The sequence below is a fragment of the Homo sapiens genome, chromosome 8 (assembly GCF_000001405.40).
Source record: "Homo sapiens chromosome 8, GRCh38.p14 Primary Assembly".
Classification (NCBI taxonomy): domain Eukaryota; kingdom Metazoa; phylum Chordata; class Mammalia; order Primates; family Hominidae; genus Homo; species Homo sapiens.
The window spans coordinates 98,509,581-98,529,182 of NC_000008.11; the positions used below are offsets into that span (position 1 = coordinate 98,509,581).

Sequence of the window (19,602 nt, forward strand, 5' to 3'; positions counted from 1 at the left end):
TTTTTAAGAACAGTGTATAAAATAAACTATACCATAAACTTAAGCCTAGAGTTCATCACAGATTAAAACTTTTAAACTTTAAACTAATCATAAATTAAAGTATACACTGAGGAATAAGACATATACAGAAAGAGAAGTACTATGGCCAACAGCTTTTTAACAAGACTGTAAATAAACCTTATTTTACCAATATTAAAGGATTCACCTACCATATTCTATTAAAAATTCTATTTTTCTACTCATAAGTTACCTCAATAACAAAGATGTGAAAATCTAATACTTTTCTAAAACTTACTAACATTTTATTTAAAGTATAATATCTAATGCTTATTGACATTTATTCAAATCACTTCTTTTTAAATAAAAACAAGTTCTCTATTTTGAAATTTTGTAGGACTCAATATCAGGTATTTTGTTAAATGGTAACTTAGAATAAATTCAAAAGAAAGGTTTAAAAAAGAAAAGTTCTAAGCTTTTAAATGATCCTATCAATATTGGTGTCCGGGTTACACACAACTATAAATCAAAGCAGAAACTGGCAAAATAAAAGAATGATGTTGACATACATTATTCTAATACGTAATGGATTTCTGTAAAGAAGAATTACTAGAGACAATAGATGCCCCTTTTGTTATGCTGCTATTAAGTATTATTGAACAGTCACATTTAGTTTAATGCCTAATCCAGAGGCATGCCACAAATATGCAAGTCCTATTTTTGTCTATGTCTGAAGACGGTTATGTGTGTTCTTTTTCTCCTTCCAATTTCCTAATCAGTTTTGCAAATAGTTACAAAATTTTTACCAGGCCAAACAGCCCCCTGCTCCCTACCCTCACCCATATATTTGCCTTCATTTTCAGCCCCTGTAACATCAGAGGGTTTTTTTTTAAAACTGTAAATAAATCCTGACTAATTATGATTTATTCACAGCTGCTCTCAATGATATTATGAACTAGTATCCTTTTCCACTATTAATAATTTCTATAAAATATTTAAATGCAGTTTTTTTTTACAACTAGAATTCTCATTTGAACAAACAAGAAAATGTCATACTGAAGGTAAATACATCAATTTAAAAATTTCTCTTATAAATAAGTATGTTTTAAGTTTAATAAAGTAGCTAGCACAGCTGGGAACAGGAAAAATGCTGTTTGCTTCAATTTTGCAAGCATTTGATTTGATTGGATGGCAAAATCAGCTTGACTGTGTTAGACCTTAAAGCCTAACGGTGACATAAAATAGGTAAAATAGGATACCCTGTGAGTAAGGTGGGTGAAGTAATTGATAATACAGAGATATTTTGCAAGTGGCTCCCTTGACTGCATTACTTTCTAAAGGGAGGTGAAAGGCACATAGAAGTCACTGAAAATACTTTTGTTGAACAAACGAACATTAAAAACTAAAAAGGAGTTTTGTTAGTGTGTTATTCTAGAAAAAAATATAAAATTAGAACATTAAATATTAATTTATACTTAAACCAAGTAATCCTAAATCGGTCTCAAAAAATATGAATAATAACATATTCTAACCTCAATGTGTATACCTTATTAATATTTTCTCATGTTCTGGAAAATTAATTAAAACAAAAGTGGTTCTTATTAAATAAATGAATAAAATCTATTGAGACAAATGCTTATTCATATTTTTTGAATTTGAATCACTTCAAATGGAATATCTAATAATTCAGTATTTACATATCCCATAACTTTAAAAATATAACAATGTAAGATACTGAATCTTAAACATACAAGTAGCTACTACATGTTTTGCACACCTATAATTTGCATCTATTAAGGATTAAAAATATTAAATTTCTTTTTATTCTAAAATTCAAAAAAAGACTATATTTTAAATATAGTCATACCTAAGTATTTTAGAACATTTTCGCTTAAAGGAGAGCTAATTGATGCTACCCTAAATACAAGAAGCTAAATATATTAAGTACATCAATATGAAATGGAGTATGAACTGGTATGTTTCCTGAATGCCTTCTCTTACATTGTTACTAATTCATTTTATAATTTACCATGAATTAAAATAATAGTTTCCTAAAAATGACTCATGGAAATATATGGGTGTATAAATACCATCCACTTTCTCCTGGAAATGTATTATCAATCTGAACACAGAACACAGAACCTGAAGAGAGAAGCTCAAGTGTTTTAAAAATATTTCGCCTCTCCTCAGCAGCTGATTTTTCCATGCTTGTTTTAAATATTAATATAAAACAGGTTTTCCTTAAATTACAAAATAAAGGTAACTTTAAAGAAATATTCATTTAAGTTAGAGGTTATGTATTAAATTGTTGCCAGTGATACTGTTTTAATGTTTTAGTTACGAAACAGAAACTGAAGTGAAAAAAATCCCACTTGCATAATTTTTTTTTTAAATTTTTTAATTATTATTACACTTTAAGTTTTAGGGTACATGTGCACAATGTGCAGGTTTGTTACATATGTATACATGTGTCATGTTGGTGTGCTGCACCCATTAACTCGTCATTTAACATTAGGTATATCTCCTAATGCTATCCCTCCCTCCTCCCCCCACCACACAACAGGCTCCGGATTGTGATGTTCCCCCTCCTGTGTCCATGTGTTCTCATTGTTCAATTCCCACCTATGAGTGAGAACATTGCATAATGTTTTAAAACAACCTTTAGCTTGTAATCTAGATGTAATTTGTTTTTAACTTTCAGAACAATAAAACAATAAATAGAGACTATAGTAATTGATTGGTCTGAATTGTTCTAAGTTCCTTAGTATGAATTCTGTTTCACAGTTAAGCCTTAGACTCAACTTGTTTAAGGCAAATAGACAAAGTATAAAATATTACTTTGGAGATACAAGATAAGTATAATTTTTGAAGAAGTCTCAGTTTAGAATTTTAGATGACATAAAGAATTAATACATAAACAATATGTGCCACATGTGAGCAGTATGCACTTAATAAAATATTTGTATGAAGCTAAAAATTTCTTACCAAAAAGTTAGTAAAAATAGACATTATTATTATTCCTTCCTTGAAAAAACCTAAAACTAAATCTTTAAGTAAATGATCTATAAGAATTCTTAGTCTGGTCCATGTGATTACATGGTCCTATGTACCCAGGGCCACTGGAAATTCTGTAAGCTTAGATAGCATGAATTCTGAATGTTAGACATTGCTGTTCAATAAAAAATAACTTGTATTAAAATTTCGTATTTTCACTTTCATGGTTTTATTTCCAAGTCTGGTTATTTTCACTACAACCTGATTTTCCAGATCAGTGGTGTCTGGTCAATTTATCTATGGGTAAAATAATTAAGTGTTCATATGTCTATACCCAAATGCTCCTCCAGAGCAGCAATTTGCTTAAGTTGGCAGTGCCTACCGCTTGGCATGCAACAAGGCTGTCACAAAAAAATGTTTACTGAATAAATGATGAATGAAGGAAAAAATAAACTAAAATATTTCTGTAGAGAAAGAAACATGAAATGCTCTAAAATGTCAGTCATGTCAGTAATGTTTATTTTTACAGAAGAATGCTGACTGAAAGTGTTTAACTGTCCCCTGAATTGTGAGACTAAGGCTCACAACAAAGACAAAAATAATGTACAAGCACCACCTATCTTGAAGACAGCCACCAACCAAATGGGGCCAAATCGCCAACCTTGAGTTTACTCAGAGGTTGAATGAGCCCCACCACTCCCAAATCATCACCCAGCCTACATAAGAGGGCAAGGGTACATCAGGAGCACTGGGGTGCAGTTTTTGTCATAGGAGCTTCCTCACTCAAGCCAAGTTGCACAGCACCAAGATATTACATCAAAGACACGTTGTGGTTTCCTGCAAGAAGAGGAGACTGGCATCTCACTTTCCAGCTGGACTGAATACTGAATAAAGAACCTGCAAACTTGCCCTGGTGCTGCCAGTGGAGTAGAATTTAGCCTGCTGAAGTGTTCATAGATGACCTGGCATATGTCCCTAGAAGTTGGGGAAAATATATTGGCCTAGAAACTTGTCTACTTCTTATCTAGAGATTTCTGAAGATGGGAGGCTTGGGTAGAGCAGCCTGCAGCAGCAGACCTAATAGGGCCACAGAAATAGTATACCTGGGTGGGGCGGGGGAGAAGTGGAGAGTACCTCTCACATTTCCCCTATCTACCCACTAATTCTCTGAGACCCTAGAAAAAGAACACCACTGACTCCCATGGCTCATATGAGAGAACCAGGACTGGGGAAGAAGCAAGGGCTGCTGGTCAAACACATCAATGCCCCATCTAGAGAGAGGGGAGGAGTTTGAACTTATGAAACAGAAAGGAGATATAGCTACCCATCTCTGAGGAAGAGCTCAGTGATAAAGGAAGCCAAGATAAAGCTATCATCCCAAGAAAACCACATATTCCAACCACATGAACATCATATTGTCAGAGACATTTTGCAGCACTTAGAACCAGATTATGCCAGAGTGAGACCCACTATCTTCAGATAACCACGTTCACTCAGATGATGACCTCTGCCTCTCTTGTCCTTCCTCCATGCTGCCTCCTTCCCCTCTCTCTCCAAGAATTAGACCTAGGAGGGGAGAAAGCATGCCAACAGTCTTAGGCCACTTAGGTGGTCTTCTCTAAGATGTAGGGTGGGGAAGGATCAAGTGAGACTTAAATCAAATTTGAGATTAAAATCTTAAACTACCCAGACTTTTACTAAATGAAAGTGACCAAAAAGTTGTAGCATTTGTCCAAAGGCATAGTTAAGAGTCAGAAAAGGGAGATTAGAAAGAGCATGCTTCAAAGTATGTTTTTTAAAAAAAGTAATTTCAGATATATTGCCAATGAGTTGTAACTGTTTAAAAGTTATTTACACCCTGTGGTAGGATGAATGCTCAAAAAACTGCTAACAAAAAACTTGATAGCTAAAACTATTCTTTAAGTTCAAGCATAGACTGATACCTGCCCCCACACTCCCCCTACCTCCCCACAAAAAAAAAAAACAGTGAAATCCTACTCATGGTAAATTCTCAGGTGACAGCTGTAATCGGCCTACATTTAAGCTTGGTTCAATATATCCATGGGTAGATAGAGCCAGCCTCTGCTCACTGTTCCTGCCCCACTCACCTTACATTTGGGATACCCTAGAAATCCATTTTTGGTAATCATCTCTCTTCAAGGGTCTCTCTGGTTGATCTCATATACTTTTTTCCATGCCAAATAGTCCCAAATTCATGGTTCCATTCTGTACTTTCAACTATCTAATAGATTTATATGTCCTCCAGACACTGAAAACTCTATACATCCATAACATATCTTGTTAGCTTATCCTCCACACACACCCAGTCTCTAAAATCTGTTCTTCCCTTTTTCTATTCTTTATCTCAAACAATAGCAAAACCATCAATCTAATTATCTAAATCAGAAACCTTCTTCTTCACCCTAATCCTCTATATAAAACTGATGATCAGATCCAGATGATTCTAAATGATCTAATCTAGATGATTTCTTGAATGTAGACTCTCTTCTCTAATTCCACTATCTTTGCCTTAATCCACTTTTAACAATTTCAACAGTCTTTAATCCAGTTATCCTAGGTCTCCAGGGTCTCCAGTTCCTCTCTATGCTTCACTTTGACACCAAAAAACAAGTTTGATAAGAGTTTTCCCCTCATAAAAATTTTTTATTAGCTATCCATTACTCATAGGATTACGGCTAAACCTAGAAGCCTCAGCTTGGCAGTTAAAGCCTTTACCACCTAGGTTACTACTGCATCATATCCAATACTAGTCTGTTCAGCAGACATGGTTGCCTTTAGGACCTGTTCTCTGACCCAGCTGAAATGTGCAAAAAAGCATTCTGTGTTGCTGGCTAAGCCAACTCAGTCTGCACCCCGCACCTCGGCCTGCTCCATGTCTGTATTCCTACTTTATTCGAATGGGCTTCAGTTTTGCTACTACCCAGAGTTTGGATTCAGTGCTATGATTTATGCATCTCCTCTTTCTCTTGACTGATGGCTTTACTTCTGGCTCAGGCTAACCTCTTCACTAAAGGCTTAGTGATAGTATCATTGTTAAATAGTACAAAGTAAACTCTTAAGTCAGATTTCCTGGGTTCAAATTTTTGCTCTACCACCTACAAGCTATGAGATTTTGACCACTGAACTTAATCTCTCCAGGCATTAGTTTCTTCAGTTTTTTTTTTTATTCTTGCAGCTTTTATGAAAGTTTTCTTTTTTAAAATTTTATTATTATTATACTTTAAGTTTTAGGGTACATGTGCACAATGTGCAGGTTTGTTACATATGTATACATGTGCCATGTTTAAAGGATAATAATAGTACCTTCTGTAAAGGATCTCCTGCATTGTCAGGAAAGTGCTTTAAAAAGTACTCACTACATACTAAGATCTCAATATGTGTCAGCTGCTGTTTTTCCCAATACTTATTAGTTTATTAGCCAAAACAAAAGGACAGGACACCCTCTGAGCCATAAAATTATATATGTAGATAAACTTCACACACCATTTTCAATATAAAGACTGGCTACTTAGAAAAACAATTTCAGATGCTGAAGTTTCCAACTTAAAACAGCCTCCTATCATGAGTCATAGCAAAATGTGGCATAGTTGCCCAAATTAATAGAAGCCTAATAGTTTAAATATGGCGTCAAGAGGAAAAAAAAGTATAAATGACCATAGACAAGGAAGAAATTCTTACAGGTGAGAGTAACTGATATACAATATGGAAAGACACCACAGGTTGACTAATTCTGGAAAATTCTTTAAAAAATGACAACAAAAAAGATGAATTTCCACATATCGAAAGAGCTGCTACTAAATGATGACTACTAGACACCCAAGGGTTACAGATACTTAATAATCTTCTTCAGTTATTTGAAGAATATTTTTTCTAGAAGAATATACCTCTAATTTTATAATAAAAGATGGAAGATAGAATTTATTTGCAGACTTGAGCTATAATTCACTGTTCCACAAAGCAAGGGGAAATTATCTGCACTTTATTTCTATTGTGCCTTATACAGATATGCTAAGGGGAAAGTATTTTAATGTTCATAATCAAAACAAAAATGATTAAATGGTCAAAACCAAAAGCAACGCAATTTCAGGAATTCTGTACTATCACTGAAGTTCTAATGAATTAGTATATTTCTTTTCATCAAAGAATATAGGCATTAAAATGACAATTTTAGATCTTTCATTAGCAAAGATAATCCAGAACTCGCTAGTCGTTCCACTGGACTAGTTAGTACAAGAATATGGCCGATAATTAACTTTTTATATATTTATATATTTGTAGCCTTGGCTATTAGGTAGTTTCATTTGCATTCTCAAATTAAGATAGAGAGTTAAAAACTAAACTGAAGGTCTGTGAGAATGAAACTTGATACTCTAACCCAGGTTACTGAGCCTTTTATAAGATGCCTTAATAATTAATAATACTATACTGCATATCAAATTTCAACATGCACCATTACTGAATTCATGAAGAAAAAAAGGTCTGTTGAGAACCATGTAAATGTGTCTTCAAAATAAATCAGTAAGGTATCTTTTTTCCAAAATACTTTCATCTGCTATGAGAAACAACATTAGTTTGAATGCCCCTATCACTCATTTATCTCCTTAAGGTCTGTCTATCGTTCTGGAAAGGTGTTTCAACAACTGATGAACACAATTACAAAACAAGACTACTTTGGTTTTGAATCAAGACAACTAGATTCTGGATTTTTAAAAAAAGTCTATTATTTACTGAAAAGTCTTCCAACATGAAGAAACCAACCTAATGAGGGCTTTCTATTTTTATGAATGAGAGGTACTATGGAAAAGGCTACCAACCTAATGGCAGGAAGGAGGAAAAGGTGTCAGCATTAATTCAAGTAGGCCAACAAATATGATAGGCCCCCAAACAATGATGTGCATACTTCTAACTGTGGAAGATAGACATGAGAAGTATGATGGAAGTCAGTTATAGAAAGATTTCTGATAGTGAACTACTATGCATACTCAGAAAACCTGAATTAAGTATAAAATTACAAAAATAATTTTAGATTTAAAGAAATTTCATGACAGTTCAAGTACAAAACTATTCCATCATCAAAACACAACCTGATATATGCATTACTAGTTTCCTCAATCAATTTTTAAAACTTTTTTGAAATCGAATGCTTTATTTATTTCAAAAGGTAAACACTGTTGGGCTATCAGTCTTAAATTAGAAGATCATAAATTACATTGTCCACTCTTTGATCCTAAATTCCACTATTGGTTAACATCTCTTTTGATGTAATCACCCCAATAGTCCCCAGTGCTTACTGACTAAACATCCAAAATTGGGTTATGAATAGAAAGCCCACATAGTCAAAATAACTTCCTTAGACATCAACATTAGCCACAACATATGCTTGGAGTACAATATCTTGTTTTAAAATGTAGAGTAGTCAATTTTTCAATGTAATCTTCTAAATAAATGACATTTTAAAAAGAGCAAACTACTATGAGGAGAGTTTGTGCTTCTTGGAGCTCTTTTTGTAAGTCATTTTTCTTTTGCCATGTGCTTTAAACATCTTAATAAATTATAACATGTTGACAAGAAACCACATACTGCACCTGTGCTTTCTATCTTAATTAATCCAATAAGTACAGGCCTGCTCACTTAAATTTGTAAGGGAAATGATGATATAATGAGTTTTAACTTAAGGTATTAATTACCTAAATAAGCAGAATTAGCTTAATGTTTCAGTAGACTTTGCCTAGACACAACCACCAAATAAAAATTTCAGAAATTATGGAAGCCTTAAACAGCACCATTAGGAATAAGAAAGTGAAACGCTCATTCTACCTCAGATAGCCAAGTGGATTAAATTCTACTAAAGAAAAAAATTTTAAAAACCAGTGCAGCAGTTCAGAGACACTAAAATCTTTGTTGCTTTTACCGAAGAATCAATTAAATCTAGTTTAGCTGCCCAGTGACTAAATTATTATTTTCTACTTGTACATAAACACTTTTCTTTGAAGCAGGTCACTTTCCTTTCAAAACAAAGGTTATGACTATCTTAAATGCCTCAGCAGACGGATGGTCAAAACCTCATAAAAATTCTACATGGACCTAGACAATCACATGACACAACTGTGCACACGCCACACCATCTGTTGGATATGACTGCCAGCACAGATTTCGTGAGCTGGCAAAGGACTGAAATAGTCAAGAATTCTGCAACTATTTCAAAGTGCAGGCTTCTCATTAATTTTAATTTCCTGTTGGCTCTACAAGGAATGACTGAGTAGTGAAAGCACAATATGCCACATACACTTGAGTTCATGCCACATGTACACCTGTAATCATAAACTCTTATCCAAAGCTATCCACTGGAACATTTGGGATTTTGTGTGTTTATTTCTTCTTTACCCTAGAAGAAATAAATCTGAAATATCTATAGTTGTCTTTTCATACTTTGTTAATACTCTTGCAAACATCTGGAAATACTTGACAATAATCATTTAATTAATGCAAAGGTAATCGATGACAATATGCTTAAATACTTCACTCAACTGAAGTGGTTTCCTCAGTCCACAGAACTAAGGACTGTAGAGAACAAGCAGTTCTTTGACTAAGGAGTACACTACAAGGAAAACTATAGCCAATATCTCTTTTAAAACCAGAAACATTACCTGCATTTAAACAAAGCAGATAACATGCTGCTATACTGGTAAAACAAACAAACAAACAAACAAACAAAAAACTGGTAGATGCTGCTGGCTTAAGTTTTTACCTTAAGCTGTCTACAGGGTCTGTGTTGCTGAGGGCTTACTAAAGGGGTGGCCCTGCTCCTCTTTTTCGGGGCTACTCTAGTTTCTTTATCACTCCTTCACAGTTGCTGGCTATAGAGGAGGGTGAAAAGACCCTGAGAAAGAAACATTTCTCCAGAACAAGTGAAGATTCCTAAAATGTCCATGGGCAGCTCCAGCAGCAGGGTTGGTACTTTCTCTGCCAACCCTTTACTGTTTTCTGCATTTTGCAACAGTGACTTTTGTTTTGTTTCCCTGTAATCATACTCACTTGCTAATGCAGGCAACAAAGGTAGGACTGCGGAAAAACTAGGAAAGCCCCAGGCAACTTTATACTTGGGGAGCAAAGTTAGTTTTTTTCCCTTCTCTGCCACAATTTTTGGGACTTTTTCTTCAGTGTGGCCCTGGAGGATTCTTGTGTCCCTTAGCTCAAAAGAACACCACCAACTGAATAAATATTTAAGAATCAGAGTAATTAAGAAATGTTAACTTACTATTCAGTATGAGTCACAACCAAAAATGGTTGATTTACCTAATTTCTCTTATACTAGTAATTACTGTCAATCCAATTTCTTTCTTTTTTAAAATTTGGAACCAATGTAGTGGGTTAACAGATGGCTTTTGAAGTTTTTGTTCTTATTCCAAAATCTTTACATTACCCAAAATATATCTATTTAAATATGATACTGTAATTTCTGCAAAACATTATCTACATGCTCTCTATTTAACACTAAACAATCTGGATGTTAAGGCTGTTTGGAAATAATTCTAACAAAAACTGAAACATTAGACTAGTGCTATAATAAACAGACTTGCCTTTTACATTTGTTTTAGAAATCTTCATAAGCACATCCTAAACATAACTTTTTTCCGGTAGGGTTAAAAATAATTCAATTAGCCCAAATATATTTTATCTCCTATCTTTTTATGATAATCCCCAATTTGGTGACATCATAAATTCTTTTATCATCTCCTTACATTCAGGAACATAACATAAGAAAATCCATAGAAAATCCCAAAGACAAATGCTAACGATTTAAAAGGAAGTACACAAATTCTATTGCATACAGGCTTTAAGACAAGGAATGCTTCCTACCCTGCACATCTGTCTAGCAGGTGCCTTTCCGAATAAGTTTTGTCCTTTAGGAATCTGCTCTGAGTACCTCAAAAGACAATAAAGTGTTCTCTTTCATTTTTTTTTCTTAGAACCCATTTTCCTCAAGGCAGAAGGATGAAGCCTTCTCTGTCCTGAAAATATGGTCAAAACAACTTTGGCTTATTTTAAGCAACTTCTATCAAATAGACTTAGGAATTATATAAAATACAGTTCTCTTCTAGAAGGCGGCCTCGAGATGCATCATGAAGAGGGAAGATAAACACATAAACCTTAGTATGCTTTATACTTTAATGAGTCATATTTTTTAACATTCTGTAACTAATAGATGAGGGAATGAATAAGACCAGATTTCCCTCATTAACAGCTGGTATCTTTGCTTTTAGTCCACTTCCCCATTTTGTGAGCAAAGCAGTCCACCAAATCACTTACGCTGTGCTCCACCTATGCTTCTTCTTTTAACCATTCTCTCTTTGCCCCTCTTACACCCTTTTCCTTGTCTTTTGCCATACTCACTACTACTCTTGGCAATTATTTGTTCATCTTCTGGCAATGCTTCCTTTATTCATCTCTTATTTATTTCCATTTCCATTCCGCTCAGTGGCGATTACAAACATTTTCCACTTTCCTCAAAGTGATGAGAGGGTTGAGCAGTTCCAGTTGACAGGTGTAATAAATGTTGAGAAAGGAAGAACTGTTCTAGTCACTCCGTCCCTCCTGCAATTCCCTTTTTAAGGCTATCTGCCCTATATAAGTCAAAAATAAATAACTCTGCAAAAATTGGATCCAGTCATATGATCTCTTGATATCCCTTTCCAACTGTGAGAACATCTTCCTTTATTATTTTTTTTTGGTACTGTCACCATTTATCATTTGGTTCCTCACCTTAACTAATCAAAATAGTACTCTTCAATCTAGTATTTCAGCTATTTCTGTTAATCTTTCCTCCTCATTCTTGTTTTTCTTTTCAATTTTATTCCTATATTATTTTAAGCTTGTGCCACATAACCGATTTCCCCTACCCTGAGTCTCTTCCTATCAATCCTTCATGCTATCTTCAATATTAATATTCTTAAGATACTTTTCATCATGTCATCCTCCAACTTAAAACCTTCAGTGGCTTTCCACTGTCTATTAAATAAATATTCAGACTCTGTAACCTTGCAAGCTTTCACCCTCTGATCTGGATCTACTTTTCCATTTTATCTCTCGTATTTTTCCAGATTAACTACCACAGACTTGAAGGTCTCTATTTCATTGCCACCCAACACAGATTATGCTTTCCTACTGCTAAGCTTTTTATTACACATCATTCCTTGTAGTTCCTGCCTTCTCTCTTTCTGCTATCCATTTATCAATGCTTAGACAAAGTCCTCTTCCACATTATAATTTCATATACAACTCCAGCCTTCATCAAATCTCCCTCTTATTCAAAACCACATGGCAATGTCTGAGTTATTGTTCTGGATTACAATTTACCACTTCATTAACTCATACCTTGTCCTCTTAATAAATCAGTATAATTTATTTTTACCCACAGTGCCTAGCACAATCCAAAGTAAAATATTTGTTAAATTAGCTTAATGTTTTCTAACAAATTTTGGAATTTCCAGATAGAATGACTACAAAATCTATGAGGGGCTAAAAATGTTTCCAAAAGTTACTTTCAGGAGTTAGCCATTGGAAAAATAGATTCACAAAACTAAAATGAGTCTAAGACAGACAGTAGAAGGCTACATGTCAAAAATTGTGTGTATGTGAAAAATCTGAAAGTAGAGTACTGCAATGGTCATTATCAAAATCATTAATGAACTCTGATTTCCTAAATTCAACATTCTAATTTCTGTTGAATTTTAATTAACACCCTTTCTATTAGATTGTCTGCAAAGTATACTGTAATAATTCCTTCCATCTCATAGCACCCTTTGCCATGTAACTTTGCTGTTCCTTCCATCATGAGGTGAAATTTATTTCCATATCTTATGAATTAGGACTAGACTTCTGACATATTTTGACAACAGACTATGACAACAGTGACACTGTGCAAATTCTTTCCCCTCTTCTCTTATGCATTTTTTATGCAAAAAAATGCATAACACAAAATTAACCATTTTCAAGTGTTCAGTTAAGTGGCATTATTTACATTCACACTCTCATACAAGCATCACTACCATCCACTTCTGGAACGTTTTTCATCTTGCAAAACGGAAACTCTGTACCCATCAAACAATAACTCCCTATTTCTCACCCGTGAGAACCAACATTTTATTTTCCATCTCGATGAATTTGACTATTATAGGTAACTCATATAAGTAGAATCATATAGCATTTGTCCTTTTGTGACCTGGCTTATTTCACTTAGCATAATGTCTTCAGTGCTTATCCATGTTGTAGCATATTGCACAATTTCTTTCCTAAGGCTGAACAATATTCCATTTTATGTATTACAACATTTTTTTAATCCATTCATCCATCAATGGACACTTGGGTTGCTTCTACCTTTTTGTCATTGTGAATAATGCTGCCATGAAAAAGGGTGTACAACTACCTCTTTGAGACCCTGCTTTCACTTCTTTGGTACATACCCAGAGGTAGAATTGCTGGATTATATGATAATGCTATGTTAGTTTTTTTGAGGAACCACCATACTGCTTCCCATAGTGACTACAACATACTTCCACCAGCAGGTGCACAAGGAAAGGTTCCAATTTCTCTACGTCTTCAGAAACACTTGTTATTTTATGTGTTTGTGTTTTGATAATAGTCATTTGAATGGGTGTGTAGTATCTTATTGTAGTTTTGATATGCATTTCTCTAATGATTAATGATAATTATTGAATCTTTTCATGTGTTTATTAGCCATGCTTATCTTCTTTGGAGGAATATCTATTTAAGTCCTTTGCCCTTTTTTTTTTTTTTTTTGAGACAGAGTCTCGCTCTGTCACCCAGGCTGGAGTGCAATGGCACGATCTCGGCTCACTGCAACCTCCATCTCCTGGGTTCAAGTGATTCTCCTGCCTCAGCCTCCCAAGTAGCTGGAATTACAAGCATGCACCACCACACCCCAGCTAATTTTGTATTTTTAGTACAGGTGGGGTTTCGCCTTGTTGGTCAGGCTGGTCTCAAACTCCTGACCTCAGGTGATCCACCCGCCTCAGCCTCCCAAAGTGCTGGGATTACAGGCATGAGCCACCATGCCCAGCCCCTTTGCCCATTTCTGAAATGGACTGTTTGGGTTTTTTTTTTGTTGCTGTTGAGTTGTAGGAGTTCATTATACATTATGAATATTAACCTCTTATCAGATATATGATTTACAAATGTTTTCTCTCATTCCATTGGTTGCCCTCCACTCTGTTGATAGTGTCTTGTGATGCACACAAGTTTTCCATTTTGATGTAGTCCAATTTATCTATTTTTTGTTACTTGTTTTTAGTGTCATAGCCTAGAAATCACTGCTAAATCCAATGTCACGAAGTTTTTCTCATATGTATTTCCTACTAATTTTTTAGTTTTATTTCTTACTGTAAGATCTTTGGCCCATTTTGAATTAATTTTTGTATATGGTGTAAAGTAAGACTCCAACTTCATTCTTTTGCATGTGGATATCCAGTTTTCCCAGCACGATTTGCTGAAATGCCTCTTCTTTGCCCCCACTGAATGGTCTTGGCATCCTTGCCGAAAATCATTTGACCATAGATGTGAAAAGTTTACTTCTCAGCTCTCTATTCCATTGGTCTACATGTCTGTCTTTCTGACAGTACCACACTGTTTTGATTTCAGTAGCTTGGTAGTAAGTTTTGAAATCAGGAAACATGAGATCTTCAATTTTGTTTTTCTTTTTCAAGATTGTTTTGACTAATTAGGGTCCCTTGAGAATCCATATGAATTTTAGGATGAGTTTTTTTCTAGTTTTGTAAAAAATATCATTAGGATTTTGACAGAGATGACAATGACTCTGTAGATTGCTTTAGGCAATATTAACATCCTAACAATATTAAAGCTTATAATCTATGAATATGTCTTTTCATGTATTGATATCTAATTTCTTTCACCCATATTTTTGCAGTTTTCAGTGTACAAGTCTTTTACCTACTTGGTTAAGATTATTCCTAAGTATCTCATTCTTTTTGATGCTATTATCAATGGACACTGTGCAGATCCTACGCTGATGTCAAGAGGCCTTACAACCTTGTTTTCACCTTCTTGGAAGGCTACTACTGCCACATACAAACTCCAGGCTTGCCTGATGAGATCATATGACCTAGCCAATAGTTAGCACAATTGCCAACACATTTGGGAAGTAATTTTAGAGAGAGTGTTCAGCCCCATTCAAGTCAGCAGATGACTGCAGTCACTTAAGAAACCCCAGGTAAGCCCAGCAGAAGAAACACTTAGATAAACCTAGACAAACTATTAACCTACAAAATTGTGGTTTTGATGAAAGTAAAATAGTTGTTATTTTAAGCCATTAAATTTTGGGGTGGTAGAAAGATTAACTGAAGCAAAGTTAAATCATTTTATTTGCCATTTCTTAACCATGATAATTTATTCATTACTTTGTAGCTCATTTCAAAGTGTTTCTCAGAGCCCATTAAGATGTATTCCATACTACTCAGCCATAAAAAAGAATAAAATCTTATCTTTTGAAGCAACATGGATGGAACTGGTAGCTATTATCTTAAGTGAAACAACTCAGAAACAGCAAAGTCAAATACTGCATGTTCTCACGTATAAGTAGGAGCTAAACAATGTGTACACACGGACACAGAGTGCGGAATAATAGACTATGGAAACTTGGAAGGGTGAGAGGGGAAGAAGGGAGTCAGGGATGAGAAATTACCTAAAGGGTACAATGCACATTATTTGGGTAATGGTTATACTAAAAGTCCAGACTTCACCATGATGCAATATATCCATGTAAATTTAAAAAACAGCAATCGTACCCTTAAATTTATGCCAAAAAAAAAAAAAAGATTTATTCCAACTGACACAAGACAACTCTTTGAGGCTAAATACTCTACATTATTCATTATATTCATGAATAATTTAAAGCTTAAATGTCAGCATTCTAAATAATTTATAATTTTAAAAAAGTAGATAGGTTAAAATGAAATCTTATTAGGACTAAAGATGTATTGATTTTATTTTTCTAACTGCTTACTACAATATTGAAAAAATATTAAGTAGACATTGCAATGATGTTTGCAAGCTAACCTGTGAATTATACTGCTAATATTTGCTAGCAATTAGTACTAAATTTATTGGGGATAGATTTTGAAACTTTATTATCTGATTATTTAAAAACTCAATCACAATATTGAGGAAAAAAGTACTTAAAATATTTATAATTGCAAAGCATTTAGAGTCATGTTGTCTAAGCAAAATGGTTTATTATTACTTAAAAATTCTTAAATTTAAAAAATGTACATATTTATATTTATCTAAAATTGTATTTACTTATCCATACGTTTATTAATAAATAAAACTATAAAGGATTATAAAGTTATTTTGTTTGGGAAAAAAAATCTTCCAGAACAATATGCAAAAGTAACATTATTATTTAAAATGTGGTTAAGTAAAAATTTACTCCATAAAATTTTCACTCCATTAAATAACTCATTTTGAGAATTTACTCTCTCAAGTTCTGGAAACAGTTACTTTAAAATAGTTCATCTGTATTTTATGTATTCTTTAAAAGAAGTAAGAAGAACCAGGGTAGAAGAAATAATGAGAAAATGTAACAAAATAGGTGATAAGGCAGTTTTATACTGAAGTTTATATGCTCCTAGGTACAGAATAGGACTATTATTTCTGAGAAACCAAGTGGAATTAACACTTACTCAAATAGAAACCAACTCATATACTTTAAAAATTGAAGCAAATTCTCAAACTCTATGTCATAAATACCTTTGCTTCATTAATTTTGGCAACTGAGTTTACTGAATGTCAGAAGTATCTCATATTTGCATTATTGAAAACATCTTTTAAAATAGTTGTCATTTTAGTTTTAAGGAGTCCTGAATATTTATTTAAATTTGAGCTATGATTTATTTAACTATAAAAAAGTATTTCTCTGCAAGTACATTTCTATAAGCAAGCTACAGTTTCACAATTTCTCTAACCATGTATATGGCTGTATAATGAATATTAACATATGGTCTATAATTGTATATACATACACACAGTTCATATACATATGAACTATGCTTCTCAATTTGATGATAAAATATAGAAGGAGAAAACATAAATTGAAGAATTAAAATGTACTTACAAAGTCAAAGTCTCCATCTTGAGGAACTTTCCAGTTATCAGGAAAAACGTTTTTGGACATAGGGAAGGGTTCATGCATGTTCTGATTACAGTTTTCGTGACTCTTATTCTTGAAGTCTTGCTTATCAAAGTAGTCCATGAAAGATGGTCTTTGTACTTGTGGTGAGGTTGCATTTCCTTAGGTAAACAAAGAACATAAGGAAGGTATAAGTTCTTACATTTAAGGAAGTATTTTCTTTGAAGTATGATTTTTTTATGAAGCCATATAATAAATTTGCACTGGTCAGATTCAAGGCCAACATAATTAATTTCATAAAGAACAAAGTGAAATAAAATAAGAATTAAAAAATACCCAGACCAAATAAAAATTAAGCTGATGATTAGGCAAAGGTCTGGAATGTTTAGATTGTAGAAACATTTCAGAAGTTTAGTAAAATCATTATCAGAATTTTATTAAAAATCATTTCAGCTTTATTTCAAATTTCTCAAAGAAAGTAAATTTTAAAAACTCAGGTGTTTTTGGTGGGCTTTTTTTCTTTGCATTTAAGCCTGCATTGCTATTGTTATTGTACATTTTCAGCTGTAAGAAATTATGAGGACTTGGCTAGGCATGGTGGCCTGTAACCTCAGAACTTTGGGAGGCTAAGGTGGAAGGGATGCTTGAGCCCAGGAGTTCAAGACCAGCCTAAGCAACATAGTGAAACTCTGTCTCTATAAAAAATACAAAAAATTAGCCAGGTGTGGTGGCACCTATCTGTAGTCCCAGCTACTTTGGGGACAGAGGCGGGAGGATCACTTGAGCCTGGGAGGTCAAGGCTGCAGTGAGCTATGATTGTGCCACTGCACTCCAGCCTGGGCAACAGAGCAAGACCCTGTTCAAATTAAAAAATATATATATATGAAATACATAAACTTTAAAAAAATTAAAAAAAATCATAAGAACTTACTCAGTTTCCTCTTATATTTATCAAACTGCTTCCTCAGTCTTTCTGATTCCCTCTGTCCCTGGACTTCCATGGCTTCGCCTGCCACACTTACATCCATGTCTCCCAACACTACTTCTCTAGCCCAGACTTTGCGCCTAAGTTCCATAACTAACTTTGCTAGCTATTAGACAACTTAATCTGAGGTGAGTTGCCAATTAATTTACCAGTTCTAAAACTAAATTCAAGATCTTTCCCTTCAAACCTACAGCTCCCCCGACATATTCTATCTCCACTAAAGTCAACCTTATTTACTCAATCCCCAAAATAATAAAGTTGAGAATTAATTCAGACTCCTCCCTTCCCACCATAGCAAACTGATTATTAGGTCTTTTAATTCTACTTCTCAGTACAGTTAACTATAACCCCTTTTCTCTACTTATCATTGCAACTGTCTTAGTTTAGCTTCTAATCACTTCTTGCTTAGGCCATTGTAGCAGCCTCCAAACTAGTCTCCTTGCTTCCAATATCACAGTTTTGATTTTAATTTCCATATTGTCAAAGTGGTGACCTTTCTAAATACAAACCAAAAGATGTCATTCTGCTCAGAATCTTTCAATGGCTCTTCATTTTTTATACTGAATGACTAAATAGGAAATAAATATTTGGAATAACTAGATTTTTAATCTGGCTATATTGGTCTTGATCAGTGGTTTTCAAATTGGATCCTTAAAGCCCCAGGGCTCCAAATAAATGTCCCAGAGACCACCAAGAAGGCATTTCCCATATAATTCTCCAAATAGAAAGTAAGCTACTTTCCTTTTTCTTTTCTTTTTTTTTGAGATGGAGTTTCGCTCTTGTTGTGCAGGCTGGAGTGCAATGGCACGAACTCAGCTCATTGCAACCTCCGCCTCCTGAGTTCAAGCAATTCTCCTGCCTCAGCCTCCCAAGTAGCTGGGATTACAGGCATGCGCCACCATGCCCGGCTAATTTTGTATTTTTAGTAGAGATGGGGTTTCTCCATGTTGGTCAGGCAGTAAGCTACTTTCTTAAGAATTTTTTGTGGGGAGTACACCTCCCCACAAGGGACCCTGATGGGCAACTGTAAGTTACAAAAAGTATTTTTAAAACGTAAAATTGAAATCTTTCCTTCCGTAATTTACACTCATGTTCCAAATAAATTACTCTTTCGTATAATTGTCCCTCAAATATCTGAAGACAGAGGTAATGGCTCCTGTCTTGGCTGTCTATTTTTAATATAAAACATCCCCAGTTCCTTTCATAGGATATATGTTTCAGATTCATCATCAACTTGTTTACTTGCCTATGGAGACATTCTAGTCTACTGTTCCTCTAAAAAGAAACATAATATTCATAACAGTTATCTGACCAACCTAGATTGCATTTGTAATAGTCCTAGCACAGTTGAAAACTACAGTTACTACTATGACAACTAAGTAACAATGTTAGTTGGGACGAGCTTTAAGGTCATTTTGGTCAAAAGAAAGCATGTTAAGAC

At 34.2% G+C, this 19,602-nt stretch overlaps 1 protein-coding gene across 16 annotated transcripts in view; it reads right to left on the reverse strand.

Annotated features, from left to right (window-relative positions):
* STK3 (serine/threonine kinase 3) overlaps positions 1-19,602 on the reverse strand; it is a 598,636-nt gene that overhangs the window by 165,606 nt on the left and 413,428 nt on the right. For all 16 annotated transcript variants that reach the window (XR_007060753.1, XR_007060752.1, XM_047422133.1 and 13 more), the window contains one exon: positions 17,162-17,337. Coding sequence is in view for 14 of the 16 variants with exons in the window: in XM_047422133.1 (XP_047278089.1) it covers positions 17,162-17,337 (176 nt within the window). In the remaining 2 variants the exon portion in view is untranslated. The remainder of the gene's footprint in view (positions 1-17,161; positions 17,338-19,602) is intronic.